Here is a 25,931-nt window from a genome sequence, read left to right as displayed (position 1 = left end):
GGGCAGCTAAGTGCTTGTCCAGGGTTTCAGAGCTAGCCTGTGTTGGGGCCAGATTTCAAGTTTTGAATCTCCCTGTTCACACGGCACTCTTTCACTGTCCTCAATAAGTATGTTTCAAAAAATGAATAGGAGTGGTCAGGCTTTGGGTGTGCCAGCTCTGGGAGCCCTCCCAACTGGACCTCTGATAGGAAATCAAGGCAGATCTTCTCTTCTTCCTGATCTGCCCCTTCCCAACCTCAACAGATAAAGGTCTCTTTTTAAAGTCTTCTAGGAAATGAGATTCCAATCCTTCCCTTTCCACTCCCGATCTAATTCATGTTAGTAATAGCATTATCAGAAAGTTCTTCCTACAGTCTAAACTCCATGCCTCCAGATAGTAGAAAGAGAATATAGATCAGGCTTCTGTTTCAGAGAGGGATATTCTTGGTCTCTAAAACCAGGGTTTAATTCTCTAACCATGACAGTCAGGGCTGGCCAATCACAGGCCTCAATGGGATAGCTTAAATTATAGAGGACCAAGTTAGAAAAAAGAAAAAAAAATACCCAACTTCCAGAGCTGATACTGCAGCTGATAATTAATTATCTGCTGTTTGTATGCACTGGTAGGGCTCCCCCAACCTCTCACTGATCAGGGTGCACAGTGTGGCCCGGGAAGAAGACCAGTGAGTTGGCGTCAGGTCAAGACTATTGTGTGGGAACCATCCAGAACCTTCTCGACTTCATCCTCCCCCCTCCACCCTTCCACTTCCCTCCAATCAAGGGAGGAGCTGCCCTCTTTCGCTCACCTCCCCTCCCCAAACATTTGGGAGGGAGGAGAGAGAGGGAGTGATTAGCACGGGGCATTGTCCCCAGATAATGGGCCCCAGCTGCTGCATGAAAGAAGAGACAAAGCGCCTGGCGGCTCCACATGCATTATCCCCTCATTAAATCTCTGTTATTAGATTAGATTCAAAATGTATTGATTCAGAAGCTGGGGGGAGGTGGGGGAGGGAAGAGGATCTGGCTGGTGAATGCTGAACTGCACCTCTCTGCAAGCTCTTCCTCCCCCTCCTTCACCCAACCAGGCAACTTTTCTGCCTCGTGTTCTCTGAAGGGAATCTCCCCTATGCCCATATCCTGGCCTCTGAGTGCAGCCAGTCTGCCTGAGCTATTCAGAAAACCACTGAGTGTCCACTCCTGGGAGGTGCCCTTGAGATCCTTGAGGCCAGGTTGCCAACGTCCAGAGGAAAGGCAGCCTCCTTTCCAGGATGGCAGGAGACAGACTCCATGGCTTTGAAGCAGTGCCAGTCACAAACTCACAGAAGGGTTCAGGCTGGGCACTTTCAGCACCTTTGATGGAATCTTTTTAGTAGAAATAACATCACTGAGAAACGGGGTAAATGGGAAAAGGAAATGAGAACTGAGTGTACTTGTTGGTGAATAGAGAAGGCTGCAGGAGAGAAGCGGAGATGGGCAAGAGACTTGGCAAGCTTCCCGGAAGCACTTATAAAGACATGAGTGTTTCTGGTCTCCTCTCTGCTAGGACAGAATGAGAGGCAACTGGCTAAAGTGTCAAGAGGAGGGGAGGAAGCAGCTTCCAGGAGGTATAACAGGTGGGAGGGAAATTCTGGATGTTCTCATACCCTCGATGGAGCAAAAGTCTCCTTGGGAGAAGACCAAGATTTGTACTGATGATCAGGAGTTAGTGCACTGCGGGGGTCTCTGGCCCTGGGCCTCAGTTTCTCATACCTGGGCAACACAGCCCACATGCCAGATCTATGAGCTGATTGGATGTAGCTACTGGAGCAGAAGATGTTACATGTGGTGGCTCATTCTCAAGGTGATTAATTGGCTGCCTCGATGCTGGGCTCTGTCACCCCATTGACTGTGGGTGAAGGGTGGGGAGAGAAAGATGGAGAATCAATAGGATGATTAGTGTCTTACTAGCTCTCTGGTTGGACACTTTGCCAGTAGCCACCCGTTTACTGACCAGTGATGCATTGACAGTGCCAGAATGTTCACCTTCCTATCCCTCTGGCCTGAGACATGAGAATCACCAAACAGCATGGCTAGTCCAAGCAAGTCCTAGTGGAATGGGGCAGCTTTTGGTTCTCAGACCAGGCTCCAACAGATGGGGGCCAGGGGACATCCCAAGAAAGAAGTGATGAACACTCCCCATCTTTAGCCCAATCTCTGCTCAGCAGGAGACAACGATTGTGAGGGCCAATCCCCAGCCTCACAATCTTTTGCTTTTTGCTGGGAGACCCTAATCTCTATCCATCAACAAAGCAAAAATAAATATAAAATTTCTAATGAATCCCTGATAACTAGAATCAAAAGCACATATGTCTGGAGTGGAAGTATCAGATGAAACTTCATTCCTAGTTCATCTTAGGAGCAACCGGCCAGTTAGACAGTATTCAATGACCAAACACCAAACCAGCTGGTGCTGGCCGTGGTGCTGAAGCTCTCATCTCCATTCCGTTGCAGTATCCACTTGCAGGGAGAGAGCTTGCTCCCACCTTCACTAAAAGATCATGAGCCCAGGTAACAGGGCTGTGTGGACCCTTCCAGCATCTTTCCAAGGGGTTGCAAAGCCGAGATTCCCCCTCTTTTCTCTCCATTGCTAAGTGTTCTTGGTCCTGACCCTCATACCTTAAATCCCACCTCCTAGTGTTTCTTCTTATAACAGCTACTTAAAGTACAAAGAGTAACTTACATAACTGCAAACCCACCATTTAATTTAAATTAAAAAACTAATATAACTGAGAATCCCTGTATACCCCTCCTTAGTCTCATCCTCCACTCCTTTTCCAGATCCCTAATATCATGAAGTTGGTGTTTATCCTTCCTGTGCAAATGCTTTTCAACCTATTTGTCATCTCCCAGTTTCCTGGGCCTAGAGGCACCAATCTCTTCTTCTTTTTTTTTTTTTTTTTTTAACAGAATCTAGCTCTGTCACATAGGATGGAGTGCAGTGGTATGATCTCAGCTCACTGCAACCTCTGCCTCCCAGCTTCAAATGATTCTCCTGCCTCAGCCTCCCAGTCAGCTGGGATTACAGGCATGCACCACCATGCCTGGCTAATTTTTGTATTTTTGGCTTTCTTTTTGTAGAGGAGGGTTTCACCATGTTGGCCAGGCTGGTCTCGAACTCCTGACCTCCAGTGATCTGCCTGTCTCGACCTCCCAAAGTGTTGGGATTAACTAACTGTAAATCTCTTCTTCTAACCATCCAACCTCTTCCCAAAGCTGCTGACAAATGGTTAAGAAGAGAGTCTAGCGGGGAGCGGGGAGGGATAGCATTAGGAGATATACCTAATGCTAAATGATGAGTTAATGGGTGCAGCATACCAGCATGGCCCATGTATACATATGTAACAAACCTGCATGTCGTGCACATGTACCCTAAAAATTAAAGTATAATAATAATAAAATTTAAAAAAAAAGAAACAAGCAAAATGTATAAATACAAAAAAAGAAAAAAAAAAGAAGAGAGTTTAGGGTTTCACTGCATTTTATTCTTCCCACTCCCATCATCTGATGGGGGATGAGTGTTCAGGGAAGCTGCCACAAGTGAGGTGAAGAAAAAAAAGACACTAGGGGTTAGAGAAGCCTCGTACAGAGTTATCAGGCCTGTGTAGTAGAGAGTTGGTTTTGCCTTCAACCTAAAAGCAAAGTTGTGAAAGAGAAGCAGAATTCCAAAGTCCCTTATTCAGGTGAGGGTCAATGGGGAAAAGTCCACAACTAGAGTGGACTTAGGGAGTGCCCGAGTTTCTCCTGATCTAAGACAGCATGTTTTAAAGCCATGGTGAGCTGCTGGGGGTGGGACAAGGGTGTAAGGGCCTTGAACACCCAGTTTTTGGTGGAAGGGTTCAGACCTTGGCTTGTGATTGCTGAGATGAATTGGCATTGGAAACAGGGCACGGGACTTTGTCTGTGTCTTGAAAATGTCCCTGGCATTCCCTGGGTCCTGAGGGGCCTAAGCAGAAATCCTCTGTCCCCACCTAACCAGGACTGTACCCCCTCCTCCACTGGGCTGTACCCACTCAAGCGTACTGCCAGATGGACCAGAGCATAACCAGGGTGATGCTGTAGGCCAGCACCGCTAGCAGGTAAATGTGGAATAGCAGCTTGTCCAGCACGGAGCCCACGCGCAGCCAGTCTCGGGCCACCTCTCGGATCTCATCCCGCTTTTCCAGGAATTGCCGGATGGAGGACAGCTCCTGCAGCAGCCCACACACCGCCAGCGAGGCCTCCCGAGGTGGTGGGGGAGGGCTACATCTGTCCCTCGGGCTCTTCTCGAAGTCCTGGGGTCCTCCCATGTGGCTGCAGTGGTTTCCCATGGCTGGAAGAAGGGCAGGGCATTGGCAAGAGAGGGAGACCCCGGGTGGTGACCTGAACATGGTTCCTTATGCTTCTATAGCCTGTAAATTTTTGTTGGGAATAACTTTTTTTTTCTCACTCTGTCACCCAGGCTGGAGGGCAGTGGTGTGATCTAAGCTCACTGCAACCTCCGCCTCCCGAGTTCAAGCAATTCTCCTGCCTCAACCTCCCAAGTAGCTGGGATTACAGGCACGTGCCACTACACCTGGCTAATTTTTTTTTTTTTTTCAATAGAAACTGGATTTCACCACGTTGGCCAGGCTGGTCTTGAACTCTTGACCTCAAGTGATCCGCCTACTTTGGCCTCCCGTGGTGCTGGGATTACAGGTGTGAGCCACCGTGGATGGCCAGGAACAACTTTAGACATAAAAAGTATAAAGAGTAACTTACATACCTGCAAATCCACCATCCAATTTAAATTGAAAAACCAGTATGACTGAGGATCCTCGTATACCCCTCCTTACACACATTCTCCACCCCTCTTCCAGATCATTAATATCACGAAGTATCCTTCCTATATATTGCTTTTCAACCTATGGGCTTTCCTCAGCAATCTGATACACATTATTTCATTTGAGCCTCACAATAGCCTCACAAAAGAGGCAGAGTAGGCGTGATTACTATTCTGTTTGTTTGTTTGTTTGTTTGTTGTTTGTTTGTTTGGAGACCAAGTCTCACTCTCTCGCCCAGGCTAGAGTGCAGTGGTGCAATCTCAGCTCACTGCAACCTCTGCCTCCCGAGTTCAAGCGATTCTCTTTCCTCAGCCTCCTGAGTAGCTGGGATTACAGGTGTGTGTCACCATACCCAGCTAATTTTTGTAATTTTAGTAGAGATGGGGTTTCACCATGTTAGTCAGGCTGGTCTCGAACTCCTGACCTCGTGATCCACCACCCCCCTTGGCCTCCCAAAGTGCTGGGATTACAGGCATGAGCCACTGTGCCCAGCCAACTATTCCAACCATATAAAAAATGGTGAAGCTGAGAGAGGTTAGGTGACTAGCCTGTGGTCACATACTTGGAGGATCATTTAATGATGAGACCACCAAGGCTCAGGTATCTGGACTCCCAATCCACTGCTACTTCTGCTCTATTTTGTTGCCTCAGAGGGGCAGCAGGCTGGAGGGTGCTGCTCTCATGTCCATGACTGCAGGTCATGGACCAGGAAATACACCTACAGAAGTGGCTTCCTTCACCAAGGTAAATTAGGCAGTAGGCTGGCAGACTAGTTCACTAGCTCTTGATGAGATGGCCTTAGATGAGCCAAAAATCTCATGTAAAGGGCCTGGCCCTAGTCAGGAGGAAGGACAAAGGGGAGTGGAGTGGAGAGGAGTGGTTAGAAAGAGAAGCTTAGAGTCAGATGGGCCTGGGTTCTACCAATTCCTGGCTCTGTGATTTAGGACAAGCAAATTCTCTATAGCTCTGCTTCCTTATTGGAAAAATGAGAATGAGAATCCTCTTGGGTTGTCATGAGTATTACATGTGATCATGTAGACAAAGTGCTTTGCACACGCCTGGCACAAAATGTTCAGTGAATAAACCAACCAACTAACCACCACCAACTACAACAAATGGTAGCTATAACAATTCCTCAGGAAGTATGAACTCCACATTTAATGTCTCTCTGCCTCATAGGTGTTTGAAATTCTAAGGAACATGGTCTTTGGGCTGTGTATTTGTTGTTTTTAATTTTTATTTTTGAGACAGGGTCTTACTCTATCTCCAGGTGGGATGCAGTGATGCGAACACAGCTCCCTGCAGCCTCAACCTCCTGGGCTCAAGTGATCCACTTCAGCCTCCTGAAGTAGCTAGGACCACAGGAGTGCATGACCATGCCCAGCCAACTTGAAAAAAAAAATTAGTAGAGATGAGGTCTCACTATGTTGGCCAGGCTGGTCTCGAACTCCTGGGCTCAAGTGATCCTCCCACCTCGGCCTCCCAAAGTGCTGGGATTGTAGGCATGAGCCACCATGCCCTGCTTTGGGCTGTTTAGTATAAGAGTTTTAGAAACCCCAGTGGCAGTATTTAACCGTGTGAGGCAGGGAGACCAATAATTGCCTAAGGGGCATCCGTTTGACTTCACCCATGGGTCCATCCTAGAGAGAGGCCATTCTCAGCCCAGAGGACTCAGCTCCTGACATGCTCAGCCTCTGGGATTCATACCCTCTCTGTCAACACCCAAGGTAATGAGAGGTTGTGTAAGTGAAGAAAGGGTCTGGACTGACATCTTTGGCTGAAGGCTGCCCCCACCCCAAGTAAGGCAGGGCATGGGATGCCATGTGCAGTACAGCACCTCCTTGGCAGGCCACGCCCTCCAGAGACTTTCCACAACATCCAAGCCAGAAGCAGCCCCTCTGTATGGACTCTTCCCTTCTGTTTCTCACCTGAGCAGTCATCAGTCTTGGTGGCTTGGGAGGTGGCTGGGGGCCTCTGGGAAGTTGACTGCTCCCTCAGGCAAAGTAGCCAGGCGATTCTCTCCAGAACCAGGTGACGCAGCCAAGCAGGCACGGGCTGCTGCAGGTCTTGCTTGTGCACCAGCCGCACAATGAAGATGGTCTCGGCCAAACTTATCACCAGCAGAGCCATGCACACCACAAAGTAGACACCTGTGCAGCCCAGGGCAGAGGCAAGAGACACATGCAGGAGGTGGGAGGGGGCGGGTTTCTCACCAGACTGAGCTCTGCTGCCAGGAGGGGCCTTACCAATGAGAGGAGTGCCGATGGCAGTGGCCGGCAGCGTGTCAGAAACGATGATCAGGAAGACCGAGTAGCCCAGGAGGAGTGTAATCTTGAAAGAGACCCTCTCGCCACTGTTGGGGGGCAGGTAGAAGCCCACGATGTCCATGACCATGAGGAAGATGCTGGGCAGTAGCAGGCTGACCACATAGAAGAGGGGCCGCCGGCGGATGACCACCTGGGACCGGAGAAGAGCTTGTGGGAAGCCTGGGGCAAACAGGCTCTGCTCCCAGGAACCACCCCACAAGCTCAGATTCCTTGTTTTATGGGGCTTCCAGCCTGGATTGCTCAGAGAAGAAAACAGACAGACCCCCATACCCTGCCTCTCAATCCAGGCTTATGGCTGTTTAGAATAAGTAAGGGACATTCATGGAGTTTCTCCATCTACTTCACTGAAGTTCCAGATGTGTGCAACCCTGGGGTTGGAAAAAGGCTATAGAAGTTCTCCCAGTATGCCTCCTTAAGTCTACCTGGATGTGAAGCTTTATTCACCATTTTACCCACATTCACTCCCACTCACATAGAACTTCATTTCTGCATAGTAGTTACTGCTTTCCATGCTGAACTCCCGAAAGTAGGGCAGCACCCCCAGCAACTCCCACTCTCCCTGGTTCATGAAGACACTCCTGTCGGATTTCACCTTTTCTGGCAAGCGCCACAAAGAGATGTTGATGTCCTGGACTGAGAGAGAATAAAGCAAGCCAGCTTTGGAATCTAGTACCCAGAGCCTGCTGGACCCTGTGATGATGGGACACAGGTGGGCAGCAATTAAGGGGAGCTGATATCCGATGGCCCAACCTCAACCTCAGCACATCACCTTCAGCCTCAGTGTCCTCAGCTATAAAATAAGGTACTCACCATACCTATCTCACAGGGCCGCACTGAGGGCAGATGAAGTCCTAAATGAAAATGCACGGTGCAAAGAACCATGCAAACCATTCATTAGAAAGCGCTCTCTCTCCTTCACACACACACACACAAACACACACACACACACACCCCTTCCAAACAGCTTTCTAGCTTTCCCTGTTAGAATTGCCCATTGCAACAATGAACAAAAGTCAACATTCTTCACCTTTGCCTTGATGGAACTGCCTATCTTTAAAAGTGAATTAAGAAAATAAGCAAAATCCTCACTTATAGATTGTAATTCCACTTCTCAAGATCTGCAGCAGAGACATATGTACCAGGAACGACAGAAGTATCTATTGCAGCAAAATATTGGAAAATACTGAAATATCCATCAATCAGAAAATGCTTAATAAGCTAGGATGCAACCAAAATCATTAGATGTTTGCATTTGTGGTAGTGGTGAGCACAGCTGCCTTCCAAAATCATGAGCTATTTTATAGCAGCTAAAATTTTTGAGGAAGACCTAAATGTGCATGAACTCCAAAAAATGTCCAAGACCTAATGTTGGGTAAAAAGAATCAAGTAGTAGTATATAATAATATATATACTGATATATTCATCTAAAATACGAACTCGTAAAGCAATTTCCATGTAGTTTCCATAGATGTGTATGTGTGTATGTAAATGTGTAGAGAAGGATTTGGAAAAATATACTGTGCTAGATGAAGTTTCTACTGATAAAAGTGGTTAACTCCTGTTGTTGGTGAAGTTTGGGATTGAGGGTAGAAGTCAAAGCAGACGTTAGCCTTATCTGTAGTTCTGGTTTTGGTCAAGGCAGTCATGCATCACCGTCATAACTTAAGTTTAAGGTAATGAATACATCAGAACAGAAGTGGGGGATGCCTTTTTTTTTTCTTTTTTGAGACGGAGTCTCAGTCAGACTTGTCACCCAGGCTGGAGTGCAGTGGTGCAACCTCGGCTCACTGCAACCTCCACCCTCCGAGTTGAAGTGATTCTCCAGCCTCAGTCTCCTGAGTAGTTGGGATTACAGGCGCCTGCCACTGCACCTGGCTAATTTTTTGTATTTTTAATAGAGACGGGGTTTCACCATGTTGGCCAGGATGGTCTCAATCTCATGACCTCGTGATCCACCTGCCTACGCCTCCCAAAGTGCTGGGATTACAGGCGTGAGCCACCGCGCCCGGCCTGGGGGATGCCTTCTTGCAACAGGGTGGTGTGCATTTCACCAGCCCTCTGGCAAGCCCTTAGCTAGCATTCATCTGCTCGGTAACATTTGCTGAGACCCTTCCTCTGTGCCAGGCCCTGTGCTGGGGATCTAAAGGTGGGCGAGAAATCATGTCCCTGCCCTTTCCAAGTTTTTTTTACTTTTTATTTTTATAGGGTCTCATTATGTTGCTCAGACTGGCCTCAAACTCCTGGGCTGAAGCAATCCTCCTGCCTTGGCCTCCCAAACTGCTGGGACTACATTTGTGAGCCACTGCACCCGCCCCTTTCTAAGTTTATATCTAGGAGAGAAGGACACATTGAATAAGTACTTACAAGGGTGACAGAGGTGGGGAGAGGACCAGGATGCTATAAATTGGGCAACAGGGATGGCCTAGTCTAGGGGATGAGAGGGTAAACTGAGGAGCTGAAACTTATGCTGCCATCAGAAGGGTGAGTAGAGGGGTTGGCCAGGCTAGGTGTGGTTGGGGGGAGCAGCTGTGGGGCAAGTTGGGAGAGGGAGGAAAGGGCCAGGTAGCATAGGAGAGGAAACAACATGTGATAAAGGGAAAGAATATGAGGGTTTGGGGCTAGAAAGGAAGGCAGCTGGGTGGGAGCAGAGCTCAGAGGAGCAGATGAGCCTGGAGCAGCTGGCTGTGGCAGTCAGCTCAAGAGGGTGGATTGTGTTCCAGGGTATCTGGGATCCCATTGAGGGGTTTTAAGTGACACGGTCAGATTCGCATTTTACTAAAATCTCACTGGCTTCTGTGAGAATCGCAAATTTAGGGGGACACGAATGCATGGGGAAACCAGCTAGGAGGCTAAAGCAGAAACCTAGGCAGGAGACGAGGGTGGTTTGCATGGGGGTGAAGTGAAATAAATGGATCTGAGAGATGCTTAGTGCCAGATCCTGTTGGAGATATTGGAAAAAAATTGTCCCTTACTGAGCGTCTTGCCGTCAGTTCACACCCTCATTGAATACTGATATATTAATGTAAAATAAGAACTCATAAAGCAATTTCCATGTACTTTCCATAGATGTGTATGTGTGTATATATACGCACACATGAATGTGTGAATGTAAATGTGTAGAGAAGGATCTGGAAAAATATACTGTGCTATATGAAGTTTCTACTGATAAAAGTGTTTAACTCTTACTGTTGGGGCAGCAAGAGCAGCAGATCTACCTCATGCAGAGGATGAGGAAGCAGAGGCCCAGGGCATTAGTAGGCTGGATACGTGAGAAGGCGCCCTGGGGAGCACTCCTCGCTCAGGTGTCCCTGGGGTCCCCCAACCTCCACCCCTGTCCCGGCGAAGCCCACATACTCACTGGTGTGCAGCCAACTGGTGAAGGTCAGCGAGCAGTTCTGGACATCGAAGGGGAAGTTGTAGATGTCGAGGCTACAGGCAGTCACCACCTGAAGGGGCTTGTAGTTCTGAACTTCGCCTTGATGCCGAATATACACGTACGGGATATTTGGAGACTTCCCCACATCCACGCTGGCGGGGGAAAAGGGGTTAGTTTGGGAGCTCAAGAGACAGGGCAAGCTCTGGGTGCCTGAAGATCTTGGAACAACTGGGTAGGGAGTGAAGTTCGGGGAGGGTATAGGCAGCCGGATAACCTGGATGTTTTGCCTGGCCTCGGTTTTTCCAACCTTCCTATCTTAGGCTTCCTGACCTGCCGTTGTCAAGGCTAGTTTTCAAGCAGTCATGGGCATTTCTCCTTTATTCCCCTGGCTCCTGGCCACACAAGGCAGGGAGGAAAACCCATGGGCCCAAAAGCCATGGACAGTAGGAAGCGTGCCCAGTGGCCCCAACCCGTCACTGCCCTGGGCTGGGCAAAGCTTGGCTCCCAGGATCGCCAGTCCTGCGGGACCAGGCAGGCTTGGTGAAAGAGCAGGATCTTGTGTTCCATCCTGACTCTGGCTTCTCTTTGCTTCCCACCCCTGGAAGTCCTTTGAAATGAAAATAATCATCTCTGGATGAAAAGGAGCTAGAGAAATGGATAAGAATTGGGGAAAGCCAGAAAAGCCCCACAAGACCTCATTCCACTCTCTCAGCTGATGTCAAAGTGGTAGGCCCTCTTGAGTGACCACTGTGGCATGGAGTAGGCTGAGCCCTCAGCCTTCTGTGAGTTCATGCTGAGAGATGAGAAGTCAAGACTAAGGCCACTTCACTGTTGAAACTGGAGAGCCAGCAGAAACTGGGATTTCCCAGAGCCCTCCAGCCTGAGCTATGTAGAGGATGGTGTGTGGTCCAGGTCAACTACCCCCTTGGAAAAATGTCAGTGGCACCCCCTGGAGTTGGACAATGCTGTGGGTATGGGGTAGAGGATGGCTGATCCCACCTGTCACCTTCCCTTTTCCTCCGTCTCCCCAGCCATCTTCCCTGCCCTTGAATTCTGAAACCCAGTTGGTGGGCCCTGAATGAACCTGCAGGATGGGGAGAAGGAATGTTGTCTGGGGCCAAATGGGACCGTGTTTGGCTGCCAGGAGTAAAGCCTGGTGGAACCCACTTCGTATTGGAGAAACAATCTGTGGCCTGTCAGGTAGATGGGTAACTTGGGAGGTCTGAACATGTCCCCCAGCTCCAAATCTCCTTTGCGGGCCAGAAGTGGCAGCCACTATCAGTGTTCCAGTTTTTTGTTTTTTTTTTTTTGGAGACAGAGTCTTGCTGTGTCGCCCAGCAGGCTGGAGTGTAATGGTGTGATCTCGGCTCACCACAACCTCCATCTCCCAGGTTCAAGCAATTCTCCTGCCTCAGCTGCCCGAGTAGCTGGGATTACAGGTGCTCGCCACCACGCCTGGCTAATTTTTGTATTTTTAGTAGAGATGGGGTTTCACCATGTTGGCCAGGCTAGTCTTGAACTCCTGACCTCTGGTGATCTACCCGCCTCGGCCTCCAAAGTGCTGGGATTACAGGTGTGAGCCACTGAGTCTGGCCAAGTGCTCCATTTTTTTTAAATAAACATTTACTGTCTCCTTTATAAGTGCAGCTGTCCCATTAGGTTATTATAACTCAGTGTTAATTCATTCACTGGTTTCTTTCCCTGTGGCAGGGGCCCCTGGACTACGAAGTATGGAATTTCAACATCAAGCACCGAAAAGAAGGAGTTTTCAAAAAGAAAAGAACAGAAAAAGGTCGGGGGGGAAGACAAAGGGAATTTGGACTCACACCAGCTTTATCTACAGTCTGCAATTCCTGGTGGGACATCTCAAATGCAACAGTGACAATCTTGTCTCTCTGTCCCCGGGCTTCTCCAGCTCCTAAGCCACCCAGCCACCTCACAATGGATAACGGTACTCACAACTCATTGATGAGAATGTCCGGGACCCAGATGCTGTCCGTGGGGATGGACAACTTGGTGATGTTGTCAAAGTCCTCAGGGTTCCACTGGAGAAACTCATCAGTCCAGTACTAGGGGAGGAGCAGGGATGGTCACAGGCAGCCCCCTCCATCTCCAGTGAGGGTCGCCTGCAACTCAGGCAGACTTCACCCTCAGTGCCCAGGCAACAGGTGGGCATCTTCCTGGGAGAAGCTGGTGTCAGTGGCGCCCAATTCCCTCAGCAGTAACTGAGAGTCCCCCCACCTCTTCATTCACACTCTGCCTCCACACATAACAACTCGGCTAGATGTAGCCTTGCCCCAGGAAGGAAGTCAGTCATTTCGAATGCTGTGAGTTCCCCCTCCGCCAGCTGAGAATCTCAGACAAATAACTTCTTGGATCTTGGTCTCAACATATTTATATGGAGATCATAACATCTCCTTCACAGGGTGGAGACCGCTCTTGTTAAGTTTTCATTAATATATTCTCCATTTTCAGGCCAGGATGGCCAGTCTAAAATGTAAATTCGATCATGTCACTCCCTTGCTTAAAATCCTTCAGGGGTGCCCCATTGCCTTTAGGATAAAGTTAAACTTCACAGCCGACACAGGCTGATATAATCTGACCTCCGCTATCCCTCTAGCCTCATATTTTGGCCATGCCTCTTTGTGACTTCTACACTGCAGCCGTATGCAATGAAACACTGCTGGAACCTCCATGTCTCTGCGTATCCTGCTCCCTCTCCCCTATCTTCTTTACCAAGGTACATTTTCCTCAGCCTTCTGGGCTTGGCCAAGGCATCTGTCTGTTCCCTTCTCCAGGACATTGTCCATGACCCCCACACCCCAGGCTGGGTGACATGCGTCTCCTCTGTGCTCCCATAGTTAGCACCTTGTCCTTGCCACGTTGGAGTGGCTGTCTTGTTGCATTTCAGTTGTCAGTACCTGTATCTGGTCTGTGAGCTCATGGTGGGCAGGGCCTCGATCTAGTTCGTGTCTCTAATTCCAGTCTCTTAGCACAGTTGCTGGTGCATGTAGACTGTCATTCCCTCACTGCTGATGCAAGTAACTGGGACAGACAAGTGGCCCTAGAGCTCCAGAGGTGAGAGCTCAGACGGATGTCCTGGGAAAGGAGCTCCAGGCTGCCTGTACTTGTTTGGGTCCCTTCCCTTTGGACACTGTAGTAAGGGATCCCTCTGCGAGGCAGGGACAGAGCAGCATCTCAGGGATCAGCATTCTAGCTTCTTCCTCTACCCCACGCCCTGTCCCATGTCTGGTGGTGGTGATGGATGTGCCATGAGCCATGGGGAGGGATAACAGAGACCCACTTATGCCAAGCATGTCCCCAGAGCCTCTTGGGCATGACCTCTGTGAGCTGTCCTCATGCTTCTGCCTCCGTGTGTTCAGCCACTTTAGTTTCTCCTCTGCTCTGACTTCCCAACAACCCCAGGGGCTTCCAGAGCAGGACCCTTGGATAGTGACCTCCACTCTTTTCCTACCCCACCCCAGCTCAAAGCCATAATTCCTGCCAAGCCTCAGATGTATCCACACACCAGGGGCTGACCCAGGCCCATCAGAAGCTAAAAGAGTGGGGAAATGGCTGAGGATGTGAGGACTAAGTGGATGGAACGAACCATCCTGTTTCAATCACCCAATTTGGTTGCTGTCCAATTTGGCTGAATAGAAGGAAGAATGGTCTAGCAAACAGAGCTGGCTGAGAGTGAAGGGGCTGGCTCATGAGTTCCTTTCAACAGAGGCTGGGACAAGCCATAGTTTGGGGTGCTTTGAAGAACTTCAGAAGCCAGAGGGGGTTTGGAGGGTTTCTCCTCCACTATCTTTAAGCCTACTTCCACTCTCAGACCTGAGATGAGGAGATTCCACACTCCTGGATCTCAGGCTGAGGGTGCCCCTCAGCCTCTCCGCTCACCTTCCCTCGCCAAGGCCACTGAAACTCCCGAATTCCCGACTCCTTCCCAGGAGGATGGGTAACGGGGGCAGGGAGGGGCGGGTCTGCTCACCTGCCGGTACCAGATGTAGGTGGTCAGCACCTGATTCTTCTCATCCTGGGAAAGGAAAGGGAGCTTGAACAAGTAACCCTGTGGACTGGAGGGCCACCCTGCACATGCCAGCCCCTAAAGGAGGGGCTTCCTTGTGTCCCTATTGCTTTGGGAAGTGAAAGTGAAGAGCAGGGGCCGGGGTCGGGAAAGTAGATAGACTGGAGCTCCCTGGCCAGACAGGAAAAGTTAGTTGTTCACTAGAGCATACGCAGAAAGAAGTAAAAATGATTCATTTTTTAATTTATTTTGAGACAGTCTTGCTTGCTCTGTTGCCCAGGCTGCAGTGCAGTGGCACAATCTCAGCTCATTGCAACCTCCACCTCCCAGGTTCCAGCGATTCTCATACCTCAGCCTCCTGAGTTGCTGGGACTACAGGTGTGTGCCACCATGCCCGACTAATTTTTGCATTTTTAGTAGAAATGCAGTCGCTATGTTGTCCAGGCTGGTCTTGAACTCCTGGCCTCAAGTGGTCTGCCCACCTCGGCTTCCCAAAGTGCTGGGATTACAGGTGTGAGCCACTGTGCTCTGCCAACAGTGATTTATGTTTCAACTTCTAATATACATATAATGCCGGGAGCAGTGTCTTACGTCTGTAACCCCAGCAATTTGGGAAGCTTAGGCAGGTGGATGGCTTGAGGCCAGGTGTTCGAGACCTGCCTGGCCAATATGGAAAAACCCTGTCTCTACTAAAAATACAAAAATTAGTCAGGAGGGCTGACTAATTTTGGTAGAGTAATTTTACTAGACTAAAATTAGTAGCCACTGTGAAGTTGGGTCCTGCTTACCTGACCCCAACACAGAGCCACTGCATCTCTGCAATTGCCTCCTTGTTTATCTCTGCACAATGTCTGACCACCTCTTCTGAGTAGTGCACCCCACCCTACTGTGGTAGTTGATGAAGGAATTGAGGAATAATTGATCTGTTGGCTGATTCTTCAACAATCATTTAGTGACACCTGCCAGGTACCAGGGATGTGTGTAAGGCACTGGGAGCATAGAGATGCATGGGACCGTCTTAATCCTCATACAGCTGACATAGAGAGATGGTTATCATTATGCAGTGTATGAAGAACCACATGTGGGAAGTGACCCCCTCACTGTATGGGTGTGGGAGCAGCAGCCACAAGGTGACCCCAGGTTTCTGGTTTGGGCAGCTGTGCAGATGATGCTACAATCCATCCTGAGCTGTGGTGCCAGACCGTAGGTCCTATGGGTTCTCAAATGCCTAACAAGCTGCATAGGGGGTGACTTGTCTCACATGGCCTTCTCCCACCCCCAAAAGGTCTGCCTGTGTGCAGCTCGGGGCTGAGCCTCACCACGTTGAGGATGGCATAGACAATGACGTCAATGGATACGGTGGTTGGCTTCCTCCAGTCCCTCACGGGGCGCACACCCTTCCTGTAGTTGGTCAAAAGGTAATCCGACAGCCTCAGCAGAGCGGGCCTGGTGGTGTTTCGGCTCCTCCTGGCTGGGAAGGAGAACAGTTCAAAGTAGACACCAGCCCCCCAAGACTTCCCCCGGTTCTCTTGTCCTGGTTTGTAAGCTGTTAAAAGAGACGTATCCCCACCATCCCCACCTCACAAAATTCTAAACACAGACTGACATTCTCACCACTAGAGCATTTTGTCTGCAGAGATTTCTACCATAATTCAAATGTATTACCTTGTAGAAAGGACCTATGCATTCATTGACAGGAAAGCAGAGATCTGGCTTGGAAGAGCAAGTGGCACAAGACAGCTGAGATTCAAATCAGGTTGAGGGCTAAGAAGGTCGGAGCAGGTGGCCCACGGGGCCTAAGCGAGGGCCTCTGGGGAGCAACAAGGAAGCTGGCTCTCAGGGTATGATACTAAAAGCAAGAGGGTTGCAAGAAAGCATGACCCCAAGTGCACAATTTCTAAGCCCAAGGGTCTGCATCAGGGTTTTCCTCAGCCAAGGTCAAACCTCAGCATCTGCACACAACATCTCCTTTTTGAGTATGAAACAGGTAAAGAAAGAAGGAAGTGTGGGCATCTGGTGAAAACTGACATTTCCTCTACATCCTGCAAAAGCCACCCCAAGAGGATCCTCGCACCCTGCCCCAGGCACACACAAGCTATGGGTGGAGGGCTGGCCCAGTCCACCTCCTAGGGTTGCTGTATGGGCAAACATGATGGGCTTAGATAGGTGGTTGGGGCGAGGTGTGGAGGGAGTGAGAAGAAATCAAACGACTTCCGGGGTAGGTGGCCTATGGGGACAAACCAGTAATGAGACAGCCCAGCTCCTGGACCCTGGTGCTGTTCTATGAAGATTTCATGCACAGCTCAGTTTTCACACTGGAAGCAGCAGGAGCACTTCCAGAAGGGTGGCCTGACATGCAAAAGTGAAAATTCATGGGACGGTGAAGGGAGTACAACCTAGAGGGCCAGCATACGGGCAGCAAAGGGGAGATGGAGCTGGCAGGTAGCCAGGGTCTTTCACTAACCAGGTGCTGGCAAGGCCTGGCTTTTGCTAAACAAGACTGTGTCTTCTCTCATCTAGTGTGCAACCTGTACAACAAATCACTCCTGCAGATTCCCCCTCCTTTCACCCCCTTTTCCCTGATAAGCTACTGGCTTCCCTCAGAAGGACAGAGAAGAGCAGAGAGAACACACACACACACACACACACACACACACACACACACACACAAACTATTTTTTAAGTGTCTCCTTTGGAATAACATCAATAAACATATTCTTCATTTAACTTTAGAACAGTCCACCAGAGTGGCTATTTGCACACAAGGATCCCCAAGCACCAGAAAGGTGAGCACCTTGCTCTGCAAGTGGAGGAACTGAGATTCAAACGCAGACCCGTGTGCGTCTTTACTACACCAGCAAGAGCCTGGGTCCTATTGACTGGGATCCTGACCAGCTTGGAGAGCACTGAACTCATCCCAGCAGGCCCGGGGCAAAGGACCATTGCTAGGAGGGACAGAGTTTCTTCTCAGTCAAGGAAGCCCTCGACCACAGTCATCACTTACAGCTTGCGTTTGCTTAACCCACGGAGCACTCCCAAACGACCGCTCCCGGGAGGAAGGACATCTTACCCAGAGCTCTTCACGTCTGTCCAACCCCTGGATGGCTTCCTCTAATTGTGCCCCAGTATGCTCCACCCCAGCTCTGTAGGGAGAGAAACCTCCTAGAGGGGAATGAACATGGTCTGCAGCAAAAGGAAGCCGGTCCCTTTGTGGCTAAAACACCCTACATTCAAGGGAGTCAGGAGAAGATGGGTGTAGCGAATGTGGAGAGAAATTGGGCGTTACTGGAGTTTAGTCCTGGAAAGGAACTTGGGGAACCGCAGGCCCAGAGAACGAACTCATGCAACAAAACCAGTGAAGCTGAGGAAAGAGGACTAGACTAGTTCTGGTCCCCACTCTGCTGCTAACAAGCTGTGTGACCTTGAATGAATTATCCGCTCCCCACTCTCTGGGCCACAGCATTCCCATTTATAACAGGCAAGGGTGGACCCAATGAGTTCTAAGGTCCCTTGCAGCTTTCATTCAAATAGTTTAGGGAAAGGACAAAAAGGAGAGGAGCCCCCTCCTGGTGCCTGTCTTTTTATTTCTGATACGCCAGGCTACTTCTCTGCTCCCTTCTTTGCAAGCTCCGCTCTTGCCCCACCCCAGGACTCAACATTCCTAACTCTCTCTAGCTTAACCATGATGCCTCAAATGCTGTCATGCTCATAGGTGGTAAGATAGCTGACCTTCCTGCAGCTGCACTGTTCCCCACCCTCCTCTCCACAGCCCTCGGAGGACTGAAGCATCCCCTGCCCCACCTCAGCAGATGGTCAGCCAAGTCCTGCTGCTTCCCGAAGTCTGCTTACCTTCTCCCTGTGCCAGGAGTGTGGGGAGGAGCAAGGCGAGCAGCGCCTGCTGGACCCACAGCAGCATAGCGAGCTTTCCAAGCATAGGAGTGCCTCCGAGTGCTCAGGACGAGGCCCACCAAGGGCCAGCTTGCCTGCCCTCTGCCAACCTCATGTCCCAGCCAGCCTGCCTCTCGTGGCCACTGCTCACACCTTCTGAGGCTGCAGCCTCACACTCCCTGGGCCACCAAGGTTGGGGAGCTGCCAAGTTTTCCTGCAATCAGTCCTTCAGCTGGATCATGTTTCAGGCGGGAGGAAAGGGGAGGGGACAGCTGAGAGGGGAGCCCGCCCTAGCTGATGTCATGCTGTGGGAGCTCAGTCCACCCATTCAGCCAGGGGGCTTGGCCATGTTTCCCCAAGGAGTAACTTAGGTGGGGACAGGGGCTGCAGAAGCCCATGAGACAAGGGTGCAGCCTGACCCCTGGGAGGTGCACCACGCTGCTGCTTTCATTGATGTCCCTTGGCAAGTATGTTTCTGTGGCACTGGGCTGGGGCAGGATAGGGTGAGTCAGGCAGGAGCAGGAAGACCATTCTTTTACTCCCCAGGGTGACATAACCAAGCAGGTGACTGGGCACCTCTGTAGTTACGGGAAGGGTAACTGGAGTCACCACAGGTCTGCCCTTTTGTCCTCATCTAATTAGTTATACTTAAATAGTAAAATATATATTAAAAATAATAAAATATATAATAAAAATAAACTTTTACTATACATATTTATTTCATGCATTCTTGCCATACATAATAAATACATATAGTAAAAATAATAATAATACATGCACTTTGTAGAAAAATATGAAGAAAAATTAAAATCATCTGTAAACTTATGACTCAGAGACAGCCACTCTTAACGTTTTGGTATATATTCTTCCATAATTTTCTTCAGTAATGTGTATACAATGAAGTAAATATCACATACATATAATTTTGTGCCCTCTTTTTTTGCTTGATATCATTTCGTAAGCATTTCTTTTCTTTTCTTTCTTTCTTTTTTTTTTTTTTTTTGAGACAGAGTCTCGCTCTGTCACCCAGGCTAGAGTGCAGTGGCGCAATCACTGCTCACTGCAGCCCCAACCTCCCCCATCTCAGCTGATCCTCCCATCTCAGCCTCTTGAAGAGCTGGGACTACAAATGCGAGCCATGCCTGGCTAATTTTTGTATTTTTGGTAGTCCCCCAAAGGGACTAGAGGCATGAGCAATCACACCTGGCCTCGGAAGCATTTTCAATACCTTCCTCTTAAATGGAAGCGTCTTTCTTGAAAGAAGTGTTTCTTTCTTCATTGCAAGTTAAATAGACAAGTATCTATCCCTCAGGCCTCAGCTGTGTACCCCTAAAGTTGCCTGCAAGAAGAATTACTGTGCATTTTTATTTGAAGGAGTCCTACCCTAGCTCACCATTTGGGTAGATGTCCCCGTACCAATCAAGTTAAGTATCAACAACAAAACATTTTCTTCCTTTTTAATTTATTTTCCACTTGACTCTAAGTGTGGAATAGGCTAGGAACCCTGCAGTAAGGAGGAATTTTCTGAATTGTAGGTAAGTTAAAAAGAAAGAAAAAAAGAAAGAAACTACCTTGGTCAGGGCTGCATCCTTTCAGTTCTTATTCCTGTGCATTATGAAATCTGCATAAAGCATTATACCATTCACCATTGGGGTCCTTTCCTGTGGCCGTTAGCGGGGTGTGGTTCTGCAACGTGCAGTCAAGTTCAGGGAGCCTGGGCTACTCTTCTCTTAAGTCATGTGCTTCATCACTGCACAATCCAGAAAAACATGGACAATTAGCTCCAAGCATTTCCCTCAGGGGAATGGATATGAGGGCAGTGAATAGAAAGAGGGCCCCAAACTTTTAGAGAATTTATAGAGCCAGACCTCCCCAGAATTCCAGAATGAATGTCCTCAGACCTGAGGTTTGACAGCAGGATAAAGCAAGGCAAGAAGAACCAGGCTGCCTCCTAGGCCACCAGGCTGAGGTCTTGAATGGGGCCCAAGCAGAACACTATAGATTCCTAAATGCATCTTCAAGCCCAACAAAGATTCTTTTTTCTTTTTTTTTTTTTTTTGAAACAGGATCTCACTCCATCACCCAGGCTAGAGTGCAGTAGCATGATCACAGCTCACTGCAACCTCAATCTCCCTGGCTTAGGTGATCCCTCCACCTCAGCCTCCCAAGTAGCTGAGACTACAGGGGCATGCTATCATGCCTGGCTAATTTTTGTATTTTTAGTAGAGACAGGGTTTTGCCATGTTGCCCAGGCTGGTCTCAAATTCCTGGGCTCAAGCAATCTGCCCGCCTCGGCCTCCCAGAGTGCTGGGATTACAGGCATGAGCCACTGTGCCTGGCCAACAAAGTATTTAAGCTCCCACTGACGTCTAAGTGGCCATTAGCACTTAGAAATCTGAAAATTTCTAGACGACTTTCTCCTCCTGTTTATGTGCATTATGAAATCTGCATAGAGCATTATGCCATTTGTTGATGGGGTCCCTTCATACAGCCATAAGCTAGGGTTTGGCCTTTAGCAGTAACAAACCCATTTGGGGTTGCCATTATAATCATTTCCTCATTGAAGAGCGAATAGAACTTAATTGCTCCCCTGACACAACCTAACCACTACCACAATGCTCCATTTTGTATTTGGGGTGTTTGTGTATATCCACGAGGGCCTCCCTACCTCTTGCTCCACACCTAGGCTGGTATGGCCTGGGGCCCATTCCTCCCACAGAGCTGAACCATTTGGAGACAGCTGGGAAGAAGCATTAGAAATTGAACTTGTTCTGAAAGGACAGCACCAAAGCGGGAGGGAATGGAGCACAAAAAAAGTGAAAGGTAAAACAATATTTTCACAGTTGTGGGGATCTGGAGAAGGAGAAGAGGGGAGAAGTAAAAAATAAGAGGAACAAGAAGAAAAAGAAGACCAGACAGGAAGAAAGTTAGGAAAGAAACTGAGGAGGAAAAGGAAGATCGGCGGAAAAGGCAAAGAAGAAAGGGAGAAAAAAGAGAGGAAAATGGAAGGAGAAAAGAAAGAGAAGGAGGAGGCGGAGGAAGGATGAAGCAGAAGCAGGAGGTGGCTGAACTATGAAGCCAGGGTGGTCTGGGTGTGGCTCACCCCTTCCCAGTGTAGTACTCTAGAAAGCAGGCTCTCGGCAAGGCGGAGTGGGGTGCCAGCCATGAGCATGTGTTACAACCCCTCCAGAGGTCCTGAGAAATCTAGGAGATCCTGTCCCATCGGCCCCAAGCCTTCATTTCTGCATTGAGCTCCTGGAATCCTCTGGGACTGTCCAATTGTGTTAGGAAGGAAAGAGGATGTCCTCTGCACAGTGCGTGCATTAGAGAATTAGCTCCTTAGGTAACAGGATTAGAGGGAGCCGGGCAGGCCATGGCCTCGGATGGAGATGTATTGCCTGTGTGCCTTTCTGATGGAGCGGCAATCAAGTTTCCCCTGAAGAAATGTCCTATTAATGGATTTGATGGCACAACAGACAGGGGGAAGCTGGAGCCGTGTGGCCAGTGGCGGGGTGTAAATTGCCTCAGATGAAACTGTGGAGTCACTTTTGCCCCTTTTAAATAAGATAAGAATTAGTGCGAGGCCTTGATGAACTCGCCTTGGCTGGTGGGGATGAGGGAAAAGCAGAGCCTGGGCTAATTTGATTCGTGAGCTCTGCCTGCAGACGGCCAGGCTCCTCCCAAGGAATAGAGGCAGACACACAGATGGCGGCGATCCAGTCTGGGTAATGAAAAGCTCCGAGACTGCAGGACCCACAGGCCTGAGCCTTCCTTCCCCTTGTGTCCAGCGGCTCTAGCACTGCAGAGAGAAGGATGTGATCACATGTGGGCCTCAACTTCCCATCTATCGCTGGATGCCGTTGCCCCTTGTCCTACCCCTGATTGCTTTTCTTGCTCCCATTTTCCAGGTTAAAACACAGAGCCCAGAGAACCTCCATGACATGCGTTAATTCCCACAGCTAATTTCAGACGGAACTGAGATCTTCCAGACTCTTGGCTCCAGCCTTTTCTATTACAGCTGTGTTTCCCATCTTCTGCAGTAAAATTTTACTAGTCTGTAAAACTTTTACCACCAAAGAGCCTGACCTTTTAAAACCTATAAATGTACCAAAACTCTTCGACCCTTAGTAACATCTGGCCACACTAGGGACCCACCTGCTAGAAAAGGGCTGGGGGAGGCTTAAGGTTTGTTATCACAGTGCTAAAGGGAAGATTTGCCTTCCTCTTCCCTTATCGCCCCTTTGGTTGGGCACCCATGGTTGGCACTTGCTCATACAGTGCCCCTGCAGAGCCTACCTCTCTCTGTGCTAGGGGTCAGATAAGGAGCACCTTTCCTACTAACCAGTTCCAGAGACTTGACCCATCCTGGTATGGAGGCTGGAAGATTCAGCGGCTGTCTACTCATGGAGGGGGTGGAAGCCAGCAGGATGGCAAAATGCCTGATTCAAGTTTCCCAGTTCACCTGCCTGAAGAGGCAGCAGTGGGCATGATAGGAAGGAGAGAGGCACAGCAGTGTCTTCAACAGACATAGAAGAGCACCTTCCTTCCTGGTCTTCTTTGCCCTGCTGTCCTATCATGTATGACTCAGAGCTTTCCTCCACCAAGGCCCTGGGTCCTTGGAATGGCCCTGTTCTGCACCACTCCACCAACAGTAGCCCTCATTCATCGAGCATATACTATGTGCCCAGCACTGTGCTCAGCTCTTTATCTTATTTAATCTTTATTTCCTATGAAGAAGATATTGTTATTACTCCCATATTGCAGATGAAAAAACTGAGATAAAGTGGCCAGGCACAGTGGCTCACACCTGTAATCCCAGCACTTTGGGAGGCCAAGGCAGGTGGATCACTTGAGCCCAGGAATTGAGACCAACCTGGGCAACATGGTGAGACCTCTACAAAAACTAGAAAAATTAGCCCAGCATGGTGGCGCATGCCTACAGTCCCAGCTACACAGGAGGATGAGGTGGGAGGAGCACCTGAGCCTAGGGAGTTTGAGGCTGCAGTGAGCTGTCTGCAGCCCTCCTCATGGTAGGGAAGAGATGCTAGAGTTTTGGGAGTGTATTATTATTATGTTGGGTCTGAGGGCATGGGGTTTGGCTTCATCTGAAAGGTGTGGTTATTTTTTGTCTCCTGTCCCCATCATCTAGAAGAGGGGAAGAGGTCTCTTCTAGATCTCCAACCGGACAGGTTGGAAATTTTAAAGTAGTGACGCAGTGAAACTTTTTATTCTCGATTGTGACCTCAAAAGGTCAGATGAATGGGAGGTTGCTCCTATTGGTTGGGTGTGTGTATTGCCATCTTCTACATGGTTACAGGCAAGGAATAGAAATTATGAAACCTGGCTGGGTGCGGTGGCTCACATCTGTAATCCCAGCACTTTCAAAGGCCAAGGCGGTGGATCATTTGAGGTCAGGAGTTTGAGACAAGCCTGGGCAACATGGTGAAACGCTGTCTTTACTAAAAATACAAAAATTAGTGAGGTGTGGTGGTGCTCACCTATAATCCCAGGTACTCAGTAGGCTGAGGCATAAGAACTGCTTGAACCCTGGAGGCCAAGGTTGTAGTGAGCTGAGATCACGCCACTGCACTCCAGCCTGGGTGAAAGAGTGAAACCCTGTCTCAAAAAAAAAAAAAGAAGAAGGAATTAAAAAACCCAAATGGGCCTCTGAAGTGGCACTGTACTTTTGGGACTCTATAAAGCTATTTCAGGAAAATTGCACAGGTCTAAAAGAACTGAAACCCCTGGGTGTTACAAGTTCATAGTTCAATCTTCACATACCCCTTTTGCTTACTGCCCCTGTCTCTTCCGTTAATGTATTCATACTGGAATTTCCAATCTTCATGCTCCACATTGAGTGGAAGAGAAGGAAGGGGTCTTTGTTCCTGGTTAGGCCAGCGTGGTGGCAGCAACACCTGTATGAGAGAGAGAAGCACCAGAGTAAGCTGAGACCCAAAGAACTTCATGGTGCTCCTTGGTTCTTGCTCTGTCTGCCTGGAGATCTTCCTGGTGCTAAACTCTGCAGATTCGGGGACTTACGCTCATAAGGGAGGAGGTAATCCTTCATACAAGCCATCAGGGAATGATGGGTATGAGAAATGGCAAAGCAGGCAGGATCCTTCCTTCTTTCTTCCCTTTCACCTCCTTTCTGGCACAGAAGGATGGTCTCACTCCAGTTCTTACAGGTGTTCAAGATGGAAATGTTCTAGCATCTTGAGTATCTCTCCTTCCTAGAAAATGAAACTTTCCCCAAATTTCCTTTAAATTCTAGCTTTTTCAACTACTTGTGGGTGGAAGCTTTTTTCTGTTCCCCAAACAACTCAGTCAACTCTAGAGTGCTCTTCAGGGTAGGTCACCCTGGAAATTGTATCTAAAATTAGCAAGCTGGTAGCAAAAGCTAGGCTTTAATGGGGATAGTGATTGATCATCAGCCTATTGGTCACCCCAGAGCTAGACCTGGGGGCAGAAGGTCATTTGGCTTAGATTTCTCTCTAACCCAAGAGAGTTAATAAACTTAAAGGAGGAAAGGACCAGAGAGGTCATCCTATTCATGACGAGTAGCCATTTGCCCATTCGGCCACCCTGGAACTGGACCTGGGGCAGAAGGTGGTTGGGTTTAAATTTCCCTCTTACTTGAATTCTAAAGAACTTCTAGAAAAGAAGGGATCGAGAGGCTATCTTATCCATCTTCTTGTTTCTGGGAAAAACAGATGCTTAATGTATTATTAGTATTTTCTCAGAAATTTTCAAAGAGACCTCAAAAATCCCTTGGGGATTCTAAAACAAAGTTTCTTCTAATATCTAACTTTAATTGCACTTGGTACAATTTTGAATCATATCCTTTCATCCTGTGGAAATGAGTCCCATCTCCGATCCATCCTTTTCAGAGTCTGAGAAGGAGTGGAAACATAATGGTCATCCATGAGCTCTTCCAGAGGAAATGAAAAAAAAACAGAAGCAGAGAATAATCACATTGACCAATCTTTGTATGGCCATGCATGGTTTACAACATGCTTTCAGGCATGTTCTCTCTTACATGAACTCATTCTAACACTCTGAGGCAGGTGACTGTGTTAGTCCATTTGTATTGCTATAAAGAAATACCTGAGGCTGGTAAATTTATAAAGAAAAGAGGTTTATTTGGCTCGTGGTACTGCAAGCTGTATAAGAAGCATGGTGCCAGCATCTGCTTTTCGTAAGGAACTTCAGGAAGCTTCTACTCATGGTGGAAGCAGAGCGGGGAGCAGGCATGTCACATGGCTAGAGAGGGAGCAAGAGAGAGAGGACGAGATGCCAGGCATTTAAGAATAATCAGGTCTTGGCAGGGCGCGGTGGCTCACGCCTGTAATCCCAGCACTTTGGGAGGCCAAGGTGGGTGGATCACGAGGTCAGGAGATTGAGACCATCCTGGCTAACACAGTGAAACCCCATCTCTACTAAAAATACAAAAAATTAGCCAGGGGTGGTGGCGGGCGCCTGTAGTCCCAGCTACT

General features: G+C 48.8%; 1 protein-coding gene across 4 annotated transcripts, besides 4 other annotated features; it reads right to left on the bottom strand.

Annotated features, from left to right (window-relative positions):
- On the bottom strand, positions 3,479–18,684 carry HTR3A (5-hydroxytryptamine receptor 3A). Of its 4 annotated transcripts, none has more exons than NM_000869.6 (9): positions 18,400–18,684; positions 15,870–16,021; positions 14,515–14,559; positions 12,480–12,589; positions 10,503–10,672; positions 7,617–7,777; positions 7,064–7,274; positions 6,746–6,967; positions 3,479–4,327 (listed from the first exon to the last, which is right to left on the bottom strand). In NM_000869.6, exons 1-9 carry the CDS (start codon positions 18,464–18,466, stop codon positions 4,029–4,031), a joined length of 1,437 nt encoding a protein of 478 aa, NP_000860.3. In that variant the 5' UTR covers positions 18,467–18,684; the 3' UTR covers positions 3,479–4,028. The 4 variants fall into 4 exon arrangements, 3 of the variants coding, with proteins under 3 accessions (NP_000860.3, NP_001155244.1, NP_998786.3); NM_001161772.3 differs by lacking the exon at positions 18,400–18,684 and adding an exon at positions 16,216–16,292; NR_046363.2 differs by lacking the exon at positions 7,617–7,777.
- Positions 3,698–4,197: an enhancer, noted in NCBI's record as "H3K4me1 hESC enhancer chr11:113860317-113860816 (GRCh37/hg19 assembly coordinates)". NCBI's record gives its function as "activates a minimal SCP1, AML or CMV promoter by ChIP-STARR-seq in primed H9 embryonic stem cells {active_cell/tissue: H9 hESC(primed)}" and the evidence as "EXISTENCE:reporter gene assay evidence [ECO:0000049][PMID:30033119]".
- Positions 4,198–4,699: an enhancer, noted in NCBI's record as "H3K4me1 hESC enhancer chr11:113859815-113860316 (GRCh37/hg19 assembly coordinates)". NCBI's record gives its function as "activates a minimal SCP1, AML or CMV promoter by ChIP-STARR-seq in primed H9 embryonic stem cells {active_cell/tissue: H9 hESC(primed)}" and the evidence as "EXISTENCE:reporter gene assay evidence [ECO:0000049][PMID:30033119]".
- Positions 17,800–18,459: an enhancer, noted in NCBI's record as "H3K4me1 hESC enhancer chr11:113846055-113846714 (GRCh37/hg19 assembly coordinates)". NCBI's record gives its function as "activates a minimal SCP1, AML or CMV promoter by ChIP-STARR-seq in naive H9 embryonic stem cells {active_cell/tissue: H9 hESC(naive)}" and the evidence as "EXISTENCE:reporter gene assay evidence [ECO:0000049][PMID:30033119]".
- Positions 18,460–19,121: an enhancer, noted in NCBI's record as "H3K4me1 hESC enhancer chr11:113845393-113846054 (GRCh37/hg19 assembly coordinates)". NCBI's record gives its function as "activates a minimal SCP1, AML or CMV promoter by ChIP-STARR-seq in naive H9 embryonic stem cells {active_cell/tissue: H9 hESC(naive)}" and the evidence as "EXISTENCE:reporter gene assay evidence [ECO:0000049][PMID:30033119]".

Source organism: Homo sapiens, chromosome 11 (genome assembly GCF_000001405.40).
Source record: "Homo sapiens chromosome 11, GRCh38.p14 Primary Assembly".
Taxonomy (NCBI): domain Eukaryota; kingdom Metazoa; phylum Chordata; class Mammalia; order Primates; family Hominidae; genus Homo; species Homo sapiens.
Note: the sequence above shows the minus strand (reverse complement) of the source record. Positions and strands in the feature narration are given on the sequence as shown.

Excerpts from the sequence above, each read along its gene's own strand:
- HTR3A (NM_213621.4), bottom strand. The coding sequence starts at position 18,466 with ATGCTGCTGTGGGTCCAGCAGGCGCTGCTCGCCTTGCTCCTCCCCACA. Across the intron at positions 16,022-18,399 it reads ACTCCTGGCACAGGGAGAAG|CCAGGAGGAGCCGAAACACC; the intron begins GTAAGCAGACTT and ends TCTCCTTCCCAG. Across the intron at positions 4,328-6,745 it reads CAAGACTGATGACTGCTCAG|CCATGGGAAACCACTGCAGC; the intron begins GTGAGAAACAGA and ends CCCTTCTTCCAG.